The following is a 13513-nucleotide window of genomic DNA, read 5'->3' as shown; positions in this document are numbered from 1 at the left end:
TGTTTCCGTGACTGGCACAGATGTGTTCTGCATGGACAGCCAGTTACTATTTCCTTGTTACTTACTGATGTGTGCCTTTAAAATAAAAAACCGAACCAAACCAAAACAAAACAAAACAAAAAAACAAAAAACACAACTGAGTTAAGGCTTGGTGCGGTGGCTCACACCTCTGTTCCCAGCACTTTGGGAGGCTGAGGCAGGTGGATCACTTGAGGTTAAGAGTTTGAGACCAGCCTGGCCAACATGGTGAAACCCTGTCTCTACTAAAAATACAGAAAAATTAGCCAGGCATAGTGGTTGGCTCCTGTAATCCCAGTTACTCGGGAGGCTGAGGCAGGAGAAATCACTTGAACCCAGGAGGCAGAGGTTGCAGTGAGCCGAGATCATGCCATTGCACTCCAGCCTGGGCAACAAGAGCAAAACTCCATCCCCCCAAAAACAAAAAAAAACTGAATTAGGCTCATAAGTGATTGTATTTCAATAGCTGGTCTTTTAGAAATTCTCATCCTTTAATGAGGTAGAGAAGTTTCTCATGCCATCTCCTCATGTCACCTCAAGTGTACGGTAGGGAGAGGGAGGACTTTGGAGTTCAGACCCAAGTTCAAATCCTGTTCCACCACTGGAATCACCTTGGCTGCTTTAGAAAAATACCAACATCTGTGCCCCACCGCAGGCCAGATCACCTACCTCAGATCCTCTACATGTAACATAACATTGACCATCTTAACCACTTTTCAGTGTACAGTCCAGTAGTGTTAAGTACATTCACATTGTCATGCAACCATCACCACAGTCTATTATCAGGACTTCTTCAGCTGGGCACAGTGGCTCATGCCTGTAGTCCCCACACTTTGGGAGGCTGAGGCGGGAGGATCGCTTGAGCCTAGAGGTTCAAGATCAGCCTGGGCAACAGGGTGAAAACCTGTCTCTACAAAAAATAAAAAATTAGCTGGGAGTGTTGACACATGCCTGTAGTCCCAACTACTACTTGGGGTCTGAGGTGGGAGGATCACATGAGCCCGAGAGGTCAAGGCTGCAGTCAGCCATGATTGTGCCACTGCTCTCTAGCCTGGGCAACAGAGTGAGACCCTGTCTCAAAATAAATAACTTTTTCATTAAGCAAAACTGAAACTATGCTGTTAAACAACAATTCCTCATCCCCCCGCAACCTCCCCCCAGCCCCTGGCAGCTATCATTCGACTTTCTGTCTCTATGAGTTTGACTTCTCCGTTATTTTTGTGACTGGCTTATTTCACTGAGTGTAATGTCCTCAAGGTTCATGCATCTTATACCGTGTGTCAGGATTTCCTTCCTTTTTAAAGCTGAATATTCCACTGAATGTATAGACCACAGTTTATTTGTCTATTCATCTATTGAGAGACACTTGCAACGTGCTATGGGCTGAAATGTGTCCCCCCAAAGTTCCTATGTCGAAGCCTTCATCCTCAGTACCTCAGAATGTGACAGTATTTGGAGATACGGCCTGTAAAGAGGTGGTTACATTAAACTGAGGTCATTAGGATGGTCCCTAATTCAATATGACTGGTGTGATTATGAGGAGATATTAGGACATGGACATACACAGAGGGATGACCATGTGAAGACACAGGAAGAAGGCAGGGTCTACAAGCCAAGGAGGATCTTATATTAAAACCAACCCTGCCAATACCATGACCTTAGATGCCCAGCCTCCAGAACTGCAAGGAAAAAAATTCTGATATTTAAGCCACTCAGTGTGTAGTGGTTTGTTGTAGCAGCCTAGCACACAAATATAGGTTGTTTCCACCTCTTGGCTATTGTGAATAATGCTGCAGTGAACATGGTGCACAAATATCTCTTCAAGACCCAGCTCTTATTCTTTTGAATATATACCCAGAAGTGGAATTCTGGGACCATATGGTAATTTTTTTTTTTAGGTATGGATATTTTTGAGAGCACCCCAGGCCAAGAACCACTGGGACTGTGAAGGCTGTGTGAGCTCAGTGCAGGGACAAGGCATGAATATTGGAGTCAAACTGTCTGGGTTCAAATTTTGGTGCCTCCACTAATCAGCTCTGTGACTTGGGCAGGTTACTTTACCTCTTCACCCCAGAGGTTCTGTATATGTCAGATGGGGAGAACTCCATTTCTTGTGAATATTGAAGGAGATGCTGCATGGAAAGGGCCTGGTTCAGTGCCTTGCATGGGGCTGGTGCCTGTGCATACTGGCTGTTTCTACGATTCATTATTAATGATCATGCTGATCCAGTGGTGGTGCAAAAAGGTACTTGCATCCTCTAGACTATATCCGGTTGTTTTCTTATTTCATTTTCACGTTGTTCATTGCCAGCGTATAGGAATACAGTTAATTTTTGTATACTAAGCTTGTATCCTGCCACATTGCTGAAATTGTTTATTAGTTCTAATAGTTTTTTTAGTAGATTCCTTAGCATTTTCTATATACAAGATCATGTCATTGGGAAATAGATAATTTTACTTATTCTTTTCTGATCTGGGTGCCTTTTATTTCTTTTTCTTGCCTAGTTGCCCTGACTAAAACCTCAAGTCCAATGTTGAATAGAATTGACAAGAACAGACATCTTTGTCTTGTTCCAGATCTTAAGGGAAAGCGTTAATGTTTCACCATTGAGAGTGATGTTAGCTGTGGGGTTTTGGTAGATGCTCTTTATTGGGTTGTGAAAGTCCCTTCTGTTCATTCTTAGCTGACTGAGTGTTTTTATCATGAAAGGCTGGTGGATTTTGTAACATGTCTTTTTTGTACCTATTTACTGGTCATGTGGTTTTTATCCTTTATTCCATCAATATGGTATAATACATGGATTGATTTTGGGATATTAAACCAACTTTGCATTCCTGGGATATATCTCACTTGCTCATGGCATATAGTTCTTTTATATATTGCAGGATTTGGTTTTCTAGTATTGTGTTGTGAATTTTTGCATCTATATTTGTAGGGGATGTTAGTCTGTAGTTTTCATATGATATCTTTGTCTGGTTTCAGTGTCAGGGTAATACTGGCTTCACAGAATGAGTTGAGAAGTGTTCTTTGCACTTTTACTTTTTGAAAGAGTTAGATATTCATTCTTCTTCAAACATTTGATAGAATTCACCCCTGCAGCCATCTAGGCCTGTGCTTTTCTACGTATCTAGGTGTTAAGTATGTTTAGTATACTACTGTGTTCAACTTTTTGTTGTGGCATTACAGTTTTACCTGAATGGGAAGGGAATGGCTGACAAGGCCAGGGCTTTTAAAGGACCAATTTGCATCAGATTTGCACTTTTTTTTTAACATACAGGATGTGGGGGCCAGAAAGGCCTATGGTTTGTCCAAAGCAGACCTCTGTGTCATGATGCAGCTCCTCCTTCCTGAGCCTCCTCCCCATGCCAGGCTCTAAGCTGGGCCCGAGTGAGCCTCTCTGCTTTGACCCCCTGGCATGCCTGTGAGGCAGATGCTGTGGTCCCTGCTCCAGCCCTGGAGACTGAGAAGGAAGGAAGGCACTCACCCAGAGCCATCAGCCAATCAATGGAAGGGATGGGGCTTGCCTGGCCTGGGTCCTACAAGCCTTCTGTTATTCCCTGATGACCAGAAATTGTTCTTTTTTCTTCTCTATTTAAATAAAAAACTGTTCTAGAGCAGCGTGTGTTAGAATCACTCAGAGGACTTGTTAAAACCCACACTGCTGAGTCCACCCCCACGTTCTGTTCAGTAGGTTACTGTTGAGGCCAAAGAATTTTAACTCCTAACAAGCTCCCAGCTGATGCAGATGCTGCTGGTCTAAGGATCTCACTCAGAGAACTGCTGTTCTAGGGGAGGTGCCAAAATTAACTGAAAAGTTTAAAAATATTATCCAGGGGCTGGAGGCATAACTGAAAGAGGCCAGGTGGGACCCAGGCCGGATCCAGCAGGCCTGCCTCTTGTCCCATTGTGGAGTGTGAGGTGGCACATGCTGGCTCCAGAGGGGACCCGTTGACTCTTACCAGCCTGGGTTCAGACATGGCGCCAGAGAGGAGTTGGTGGCAGCTGAGTTTCGAGGCCTTGCTGATGGCAAAGGAGGCTTCCCACACCCAGATCCCAGAATTGGCTGAGATTCAGACAGGAAGTCAGGAAGCCCCCAAGTCTGTTCATAAAGCTTTTAGAATGTATCCAAAGGAAAATAAAAACAAAAATTAAGATAGTGCTTTCTGCAAACTCTACCACGCACCAGGCACTGTGCAAGGTGCTGTGCGTGGGTTAACTTAGCTCGTACTCACAGGGGAGAGCTGTGCTGCTTTCTGCTTAATAGGTGGGTGGCAGAGGCTCAGAGAGGCTGAGAAACTTGCTCAAAGTCACACAGTGAGGCAGAGCCAGAGTCTGTGTTGAACTTCAGCCTTCCAGAGTCCACCAGGCTGCCCCCAGAAGGCATCGAGGCAGTTTTTCTTTTCATATTGATAGTATAGTCAGAGATGAGAGGCCACAAACACACACACACACAGTGCTGGACTGAGGGGCCTCAGGACTCCAGGCTGGGCTTTGTCATTGCCGGCCATGTCCCTTAAACCTTTCCATCCTCCGTTTCCTCACCTGTAAGCAATGAAGTTGTTGAAAATCCTGTGATGCCATTTGTACCCCTGGGAGGATCTGCCACATAACCAGCTCTGCCTTCATGAACTGATCTCTGCCTGCGGCCAGGCCCCGGGGCCAGAGCACCCCATCCATTGCCATCTCCTGGAAACCTCAGGGTGGCGGCTGGGAAGCAGAGCTGTGCCTGTCCAGAGGCCGCACATTTGATCCCAATGCCAGCTGCCTCTTAAGTCCGAGAGCAGAGACTCCAGCTATATTTTAAGGATTTAGGGTTGGAATTCTGATTATTGTGATATGGTAGCTTAAAAAAAGTGCCAGTAATATTAAATAAAAGCAAAATCCCTTAACTGTTACATATTGCTGAGTGTACGTAGGACTTCTCTCATGTGACAAGTTCATGTAAGACTTTGGCTGGAGGTGCAAAAACCAGTCGTTTAAAAAACACTGGACTCGGGAAGGACAGAACACGAGAAACTGCCCTTTTAAAGCACAGAGCTCCCGGGGGCTCCCTTTCCCCTGCCTGTGCGGGCATACATGGGTACGAGCCTCTTCGAAACTTTGCAGCGTTTGGCCAGTGAATTGGAAAGGGAATCTCTCCATGGAAAAAAATTCTAAATCTGTACAAAATCCTCAGAAATAACCAAAGTGTCCCTAAATCCAGGATGGAATGAGGTAGGAAGGCCTCCACCACTCTTCAGAGCGTCTTGGAAAATTCTTATTTCATGATATGAAGAGGAAAAGACAAGCTAGAAAATGACTGATAGACATGAGTTTAAGTAAAAACTGCCCCTGGAAAAGCAGCCCAGAAGGAAGTCAGTAGAGTGTTCACAGTGGGTGGGGGTGGGGGATGGAAGAGAAGTTTCTTTTTCTCTTCCTTTTCCTTTTCTGTGTTCTCCCAAGTTTCTTTATTGGAGTAAACTTGATTTTTAAAATGAGAGAGAGACGGTTAACGCCCTTAGGAAGCGTAAGCGCCTCTCCATGCCAGAGCCTGACAGCAGAAATGAGTGGTTTCCACATCAACTTCCGCTCCCACCGGGCTGCTCAGTGGCCAGGGAGGTTGCCGAAGAGTGGACAGTCAGCATCCTCGGCATCAGTGTCCTGGGGCCACTTTCCATTTGGTGCAGAAATAGCTCTTGCATTTCTCCACCTGGCTTCTGTGGACCAGGGCTGGGCCAGCTACCGGCAAGTTAAGATGGAGAATCATGTGGATTTGGGAGTGGAGGAGAAAGGGCATTCACAGGCCAGGCCCTGGGGCATAGGTGCTGTTGCCCATAAAATTATTTATGGGGGTCCTAAGGACTGTAGTCAATATTTGTTTTGTAAAGCAGCAACCCAGGAAGGGTTTCATCTACCACTTTGTTTTTTGTGTTTGTTTGTTTGTTTTTTGGTATTTATTTATTTATTTATTTTGAGACAGGGTTTCACTCTGTCGCCCAGGCTGGGGTGCAGTAGCAGGATCTCGGCTCACTGCAACTTCTGCCTGCCGGGTTCAAGCAATTCTCCTGCCTCAGCCTGTCAAGTAGCTGGGATTACAGATGCGCGCCACCACCCCTGGCTAATTTTTGTATTTTTAATAGAGACGGGGTTTCGCCATGTTGGCCAGGCTGGTCTCGAATTCCTGGGCTCAAGTGATCTGCCTGCCTCAGCATCCCAAAGTGTTGGGATTACAGGCATGAGCCACTGCGCCCGGCCTCGTCTACCACTTTAAATGTTGGTAGCTGCTTCTCATTCTACGCGATACAATTAGGATGGTAGTGACTGACTGAGGCTTCTTCGCTGTGAATGCTGGGCAGGGGGCCCATGCTGGCTGCTGAGGTTACAGGTCCCAGATGCCTGGCCCACAGGGCTGGCTCTGCCGTCACCCAGCTCTGGGGTCTTAGGCAAGTGATTTTCCCTCTTTGGACCTCAGCTTCTGATTTTGTAAAGAGAGGGATCCCACCATTCTCCAGTGTCTACCATACACCAGGCACTGTGCTGAGGACAGATGAGCTCCAACCAGTGCCTGTGGCTGACCTGAGGTCAGTAATTTTCTTTATTACAATTGCCTACTTAATTGCATCTTTCTTATTGCCCAAAGGATGACACCAGACGAGAGAAATATTATTCTACCAAGTTATCTGGGATACTTTGTCATCCCTTTTCCAGGTAAAAGCATTACATTTTCATTGTGGAAAATGTCTTGGAGAAGACAGATCAAAAGGAGATAAACAAAATCATGTATTTCTCCACCCCTCCAGGAGCAGTGGGGACAGAGGTCCTTACGCTGTGAACCACTGTCACCTAGCGGGCCGACTTCCCTCTGACCCTGCAGAAAGACCCGAGCCACATTATTGGAAGGGGCCTTAAGCTGATCGGGGGGACCACGAATCACTGACCCCCAGTGTTGATGAAGCAGGACCTGAGCACACACTCCTGGGGTGGGTCTGTGGTGGGCCTTTTGGGGGAACAGGGACAGTGCTCCTGCTGAGCCAGCCTCGCCACGTGGGGGGATTTATGGTCGGCCCATCATCAGGTGTGCATTATGATTTATGTGGGAAGATGTGTATCACACAAATGTTGGTGAAAGTCCCTCCCCACAGAAAAAAAAAAAAAAAAGAGGAAAAAAGAAAAATAGGGAGCAGCCCAAATGTCCGGGTGGAGAGCCACGTGAACATTGATTGTTTCTGCCGCTGTCAGCCTTTCTCCCCTGTGTGTATGAAATTGGTCTCCAAAAAACTGGGACAATAGTTCATAGCTATTCTCAGTACATCTCAATCCATCTAATAAATATATTCGTTTCCTAGGGCCGCTGTACCATGGAATACACAAGACAAACGGATGGTCTCTTAGTTCTGGAGGCTGGAAGTCTGAGATCCAGGCGTGGGCAGGGTTGACCCCATCTGAGGCTGCGAGGGGACTCTGCCCCAGGCCTCTCCCCTGGCTTCCTGTGCTTTGGTGGCAGTCCTTGGTATTCCTTGGCTCGTGGAATCTGCCCCGTGACCTCCTCCTTCGTCGTCACATGGTGTTCTCCTTTGTCTCTGTGTCTCTGTGCTCCCATTTCCTTATTTTATTTTATTTTATTTTATTTTATTTTATATTTTGAGATGGAGTCTCACTCTGTCACCCAGGCTGGAGCACAGTGGCATGGTCTTGGCTCACTGCAACCTCCGCCTCCTGGGTTCAGGCGATTCTCCTGCCTCAGCCTCCCAAGTAGCTGGGACTACAGGTGTGTGCCACCACACCTGGCTAATTTTTGTATTTTTAGTAGAGATGGGGTTTCACTATGTTGGCCAGGTTGGTCTCGAACTCCTGACTTTGTGATCCGCCTGCCTCAGCCTCCCAAAGTGCTGGGGTTACAGGCGTGAGCCACCACGACCAGCCCCATTTCTTCTTTTTGTAGGAACACCCATCATATTGGTTAAGGCCCACCCTCCTGACTTCATCTCAATTAGATGACCTCAGTAAAGACCCTGTTTCCCATAAGACCACCTCTGAGGGTACTGGGGGTTAGGACCTCAGCGTATGAATTTGGGAGTGACACAATTTAAACCCTTTCACATAAATCAAGAATACTTTTCAATGTCCTTGAAATGCTCTTCTGATGCTATGGTTCTCAAATGCTTTTTAACTGGGGCAGAACCCTTTTAAATAGTGAAAGTTTCTGGAGCCCATGGGAACCCTCCCAAAGCAGGTTAAAATTCAGGGGGAAAGTGGGGCTCAGGCATAAGAGGAGTCCAGAGGAGAGCAGGGCTGACCTGCTGGTGTGTGTGTGTGTGTGTATATGTGTGTGTGTGTGTGTGTGTGTGTGTGTTTCTAATGATGTCACATGCAAACAATAACAGCTTGACTAAGGCCATGGAGGATGAACAGACAGGGTGGGGTGGGGAGACATATTCCAGCCAGATGAAGGCTCGTGAGAGTTCAGTAAGCCCAGGAATCAAGGCAGTAAGCAGTAGTTGCTTAGCGCCCAACTGGCCTTGCTCTGTTGAAAGTGCTCTGTGCGCATTCGCTTTTGCCGGGGCAGGTACTATGATTTTCCTCATTTTTCCAGGTTAGGGGAAACTGAAGCTCAGGGAGGACAAGGCACCTGCCCCAGGACAAACAGCTAACAAGTGGTAGAGTCAAGATTCGTACCCATTCTGAGACAGAGCTGGCCGTTGAGAACACGCCACTGCACGGCCATTCCGTGGTTCTAGAACGTGAAGTTCTGCCAGTGGATGTAGGTGTGTGGAGGGTCTGTCTGTAGTTAACATCGTCAAAATATTTGGTTTTCTGCTTCTGTGTTTAAAATGGTTTTGTGTGTCCCTCTTTAATTTTAACTTGGATTCTAGGCCAGGTGCAGTGGCTCACGCCTGTAATCCCAGCATTTTGGGAGGCCGAGGCAGGTGGATCACGTGAGGTCAGGAGTTTGAGACCAGCCTGGTCAACATGGCGAAACCCCATCTCTACTAAAAATACAAAAATGAGCCAGGTGTGGTGTAATCCCAGCTACTTGGAAAGCTGAGGCAGGAGAATCGCTTGAACCCAGGAGGCAGAGGTTGCAGTGAGCCAATATTGCACCACTGCACTCCAGCCTGGGTGACAGAGTGAGACTCTGTCTCAAAAAAATAAAAATAAAAATAAATAAAAATTAAATTAACTTGGGTTCTGGGGTACCCCAGCTTTCATCTGTGTTCAGGTGCAGATAACAGAAGCCACTCTGTCCAGCTACTTTAAGTAGAGGGACGGAGCACAGGGAAGTAGGTGCCAGTAGTGGAAGGTCAGGGAGCAGAGTCTTGTCTGGGCTTAGGCTTGACCCCCAGAGTGTCACCCCAGAGCTGGCCTCTCGGGAGCTGCCACCTCTGCCACCTCTGGGAGCTGGGGCATTGGGAGCCACTGTCCCAGAGCTGGTTACAGCCTCAGCTGCAAGCCAGGAAGGAGAAGGCCATGGTGGGACCCCCAACGCCAGAGCACACCTTGTCTGCCAGGCCCATGCCAGGAAGGAGAAGGCCATGGTTGGACCCCCAACGCCAGAGCACACCTTGTCTGCCAGGCCCATGCCAGCCAGTGGGCACCTTGTCCTATCCCCACCTGGCTCTCACTTGTGTTCAGGTCAGGCCTGTGTGATTGAAGGACTGATGAATTGAATGAATGATGGAACCTAAGTGATGTGCAGAGCCCTAGCTCCAAGGGAGTCTCAGAGATATGGTTTGTGGCTCTTTAGCCTCCGCATTTCAGGATAGCTCATTTGGTCCCCTGTGGGGGTCATTGCCTCCAGGTGCGGAGAGAGTGTGGATTGGCTGAAAAAGAGCGTCTCTCGAGTGAGGCCATCTGGAACGTTCAACCAAATCACAGCTCCTGATTTCCCTGAGCAAAGGACTTGAAGGGGGTTCCTACTTAGCACGTCTGCTGTCACCCAGGGTGTGAGACGACTTTTCAGGAACTGTATCAGGTGTGACGTGATTAAGGTTCCATGGGCCAGAGCCGTGAATTTCCTGACTCCCAGCGAAGGTACGGGAACAGTGCCGTCTAAAGCTGATCCGTCTGTTAGGAAAATGCCAGCGCGTGCCGTCTTGCAGCCACTGTGGCTGCTGTGGCTCAGTGGGCCCTGGTGAGCCCGGCTGCTGGCACGGGGAAGCCAGGACCTGGCATAGCACATGTCCTGTCAGGTGGAGGAGGCAGAGCTGCATGTGGCTCGATTCCAAGCCCTATGGGGGAGGCTCTGCAAGGCAAGGGAGCATGCAGCACCTTACCATGAAAATAGGGAGGGGGTGTTGAGGAGGAAGAGTGATTATTCCCTCGGTGGGGGCACATCGGAGGGGACACCGTGTAGGAGTTTGATTACTGGTGCAGAGGAGGACTGGAGGGAATAGGCTGCAGAGTCCCAGGGGCCTGGTGGAATCCTGGCTCCCCATGCCACCTCCCTGAGCCTCAGTTTCCTCATCTGTACAATGGCATGGTCAGTGGAATCCCATGCGCTTGCCAAACTTCAACGCAACTGTGTCTAAATGCCTGTTATGTGATGGGTAGTGCCGCTGCTGGTAACTAGCTTTTTGCTTTCTGCCAGTGGTTCTCGAGGGCTTTCTGTGTAGTCAGGACCCCCACGATGTGGGTTGTGGTCAGCTGGCTGGACTGGACAGGGAGGAAGTTCTTGTTATTTATTTATTTTTCCTGGGCAGGCCATTTCTTGGAATTCCAGATTCTTTAGTGTGGCTCCTGACTGGGTGCTAATCACCATGAAAAATCAGAAAAGTAGGCAAGAAAAGGATAGTCGAGCAAGGTGCAGGTGACACGAGCCATCCTTGGTTGTGTGACCGTGGACAGGAACTTAGTCGCTCAGTGCCCAAATTGTCTCAGATACAAAATATGGGAAGCGAGGCCTCCCTCTTGGGACCTTGAGAGATTAAATAGATCACTCTGGACTGATACCGAGTTCCTTCCAGCAGGTCCCTCAACGTCGTGGCTTTGCTTCCTTCATTCCTGCTCCCAGTGGGAGATATTATCACTAGGGTACTGATTTGTCAGAAGTACTTAAATATTCCCATGGTCTTTTGGGTTCAAGCAGACTGAAATATGGATTCACAGATGCCTGCATTTAGACGTCAAGCACTTTGGTACATGTTATTTATGTATTTATTTATTTACTTTGAGTCTCACTCTGTTGGCCAGGCTGGAGTGCAGTGGTGTGATCTCGGCTCACTGCAACCTCCATTTCCTGGGTTCAAGTGATTCTCCTGCCTCAGCCTCCCCAGCAGCTGGGAATACAGGAACCCACCACCATGCCCGGCCAATTTTTGTATCTTTAGTAGAGATGGGGTTTCACCCTGTTCGCCAGGCTGATCTTGAACTCCTGACCTCAAGTGATCCACCCACCTTGGCCTCTCAAAGTGCTGGGATTACAGGTGTGAGCCACTGTGCCCAGCCTCGGTCCATGTTGAAGGGACACTTCATTCACTCCTTATTTTTGCTGTCCCCCCCCACCTCTCCCCCCACCATTTCTTAAGTCCTCTGACACCAGCCTCTGCCAAGGTGTTAGGTGGCTATCTGAAACTGTTAGTAAGAAGTTCTGTGTGAGCCAGCATTGTGCTGGGCAGTGTGGTTTAGGGGAAGAACCAGTGGGATGGGCCTTAGAAGGCTTGGGTTCAAGTCCAGGCTGGCTGTGGCTCTCAGAGCCTCTGGTTTGTCATAGGTAACATGGGGCAAGAAGCAACTTCTCAGCGGGGGTGGTATGGTTGATGCAGTGGTATGCAGGGAACTAGATTATTTTAATCTGCAAAATGCTGTGTATGCGATGGCTTTTTTATCAAGGCTAGGCCAGGCTGGACCTGGGAAATCCCCGTCCGTGGAGTGGGGTCGGGCAGCTCAAGGAGCATCTCTGTATCAGTCTTCAGGGGCTGCCATGATGGACTCCACAGACTGGGCGGCTCACACCACAGACATTTGCTCCCAATTCTGGAGACTGGAAGTCCGAGATCAAGCTGCCACCAGGGTTGGTTTCTTCCGAAGCCTCTCTCCTTGGCTTGTAGACGGCCGTCTTCTCCCCATGTCCTCACATGGTCTTCCTTCTATGTGTCTGTGTCCTATTTTCCTCGTATTGTTAGGACATCCGTCATCTTGGATTAGGTCCCACCCTAATCCACAGCCCCATTTTACCTAACTTACCTCCATAAAGACCTTGTCTCCAAACATGAAGTCCTGAGGTGCTGGGGGTTGGGGATTCAACATAAGAATTTTGGAGGGACACGAGTCAGCCCATATACCATGGCTTGAGAATGGGAGAGGATGGGGAGGAGTGGCCCCCATGGAGACTGAGCAGCTCTGCCCCAACGATACCAGACCAGAGATACACGAGCCCTACACCTGCCATCTCTACATGTCCAGGGCCTGCCAGGGAGCCCAGACGCTGTCTTGTGTGTGGAGTCCCCAGCTAGAAGACACTTCTCTTGCCTCTGGGCATCCACCGTGGTTTATCTGCATCTACACTGCGTGTTTTGGGCTGTCTTTATTTATGCATGCGCCACCCTCCCATGCTAGGCTTGAGGCTCTGGTGGGGGAGAGAGGATGTGGCTCATCTCTGCCTCCCCAGGCCTGGTGCAGTATTTGCATGTGTGAAAGAGGGCATTGTGGCACCATCGTGTGGACAGATTGAGTCCATTTCACAGGCACTCAAGAGCTGCTTTGATTCTGGCAGACACCGAGCCAGGCTCTTGGGAGGTTGAGGCAACAGGCCTGGCTGTCATGGGCACCGAGTCTGGTGGCGGGGATGGGCAACACCAGCACAGCGTGATCAGAGCTGTGAGACAGGGAAGCTTGAGGAACTATTGGTATGCAGAGGAAGCCCTTGACCCAGCCTAGGGGTGGGAAGTGGTGCCAGCTAAAGCATCCCAGAGGAGGTGATGCCCAAGCTGAATTTTAAAGAAGATGAACAGGTGGAAAAGACGGGGAGGGGCATTTCAAGAAGAGAGCATCAGTCAGGTTTGATGAGGCAAGGCTGCAGTAACAAAGAAACCCCAAAAGGTCTGTATATTAGTCTGTTCTCACATTGCTATAAAGATACTACCTGAGACTGGGTCATTTATAAAGAAAAGCGGTTTAATGACTCACAGTTCCACATGGCTGGGGAGGCCTCAGGAAACTTACAATCATGGTGGAAGGGGAAAGGGCATGTCTTACATGGCGGCAGGCGGGAGACAGCGAGTATGTGAAGGAGGAACTGTCAAACACTTATAAAACCATCAGATCTTGTGAGAACTCATTCACTATCATGAGAACAGCATGGGGGAACTGCCCCTGTGATCCAGTCACCTTCCTCCAGGCATCTCCCTCGACCTGGGGATCAGGGGGATTACAATTTAAGATGAGATTTGGGTGGGCACACAAAGCCTAACCATATCAGTCCATTCTAATTCACACATGCTCTAGTGCAGGCCCACTCCAGTGGGTGATTCAGGGATCCAGCCCCCTCCGTCTGGTCATCCAACCATCTCAATGCAT

At 48.6% G+C, this 13513-nt stretch overlaps 1 protein-coding gene across 4 annotated transcripts in view, besides 3 other annotated features; it reads left to right on the top strand.

Moving 5' to 3' along the window:
• Positions 1 to 13513, top strand: part of JAKMIP1 (janus kinase and microtubule interacting protein 1) — a 174351-nt gene that overhangs the window by 53143 nt on the left and 107695 nt on the right. The gene's annotated exons all lie outside the window — the stretch shown is intronic.
• Positions 6194 to 6695: an enhancer, noted in NCBI's record as "H3K4me1 hESC enhancer chr4:6142439-6142940 (GRCh37/hg19 assembly coordinates)". NCBI's record gives its function as "activates a minimal SCP1, AML or CMV promoter by ChIP-STARR-seq in primed H9 embryonic stem cells {active_cell/tissue: H9 hESC(primed)}" and the evidence as "EXISTENCE:reporter gene assay evidence [ECO:0000049][PMID:30033119]".
• Positions 12293 to 12482: an enhancer, noted in NCBI's record as "active region_21249". NCBI's record gives its function as "activates an Ori minimal core promoter by ATAC-STARR-seq in GM12878 lymphoblastoid cells {active_cell/tissue: GM12878}" and the evidence as "EXISTENCE:reporter gene assay evidence [ECO:0000049][PMID:35858748]".
• Positions 12763 to 12812: an enhancer, noted in NCBI's record as "active region_21248". NCBI's record gives its function as "activates an Ori minimal core promoter by ATAC-STARR-seq in GM12878 lymphoblastoid cells {active_cell/tissue: GM12878}" and the evidence as "EXISTENCE:reporter gene assay evidence [ECO:0000049][PMID:35858748]".

Source organism: Homo sapiens, chromosome 4 (genome assembly GCF_000001405.40).
Source record: "Homo sapiens chromosome 4, GRCh38.p14 Primary Assembly".
Taxonomy (NCBI): Eukaryota; Metazoa; Chordata; class Mammalia; order Primates; family Hominidae; genus Homo; species Homo sapiens.
Note: the sequence above shows the minus strand (reverse complement) of the source record. Positions and strands in the feature narration are given on the sequence as shown.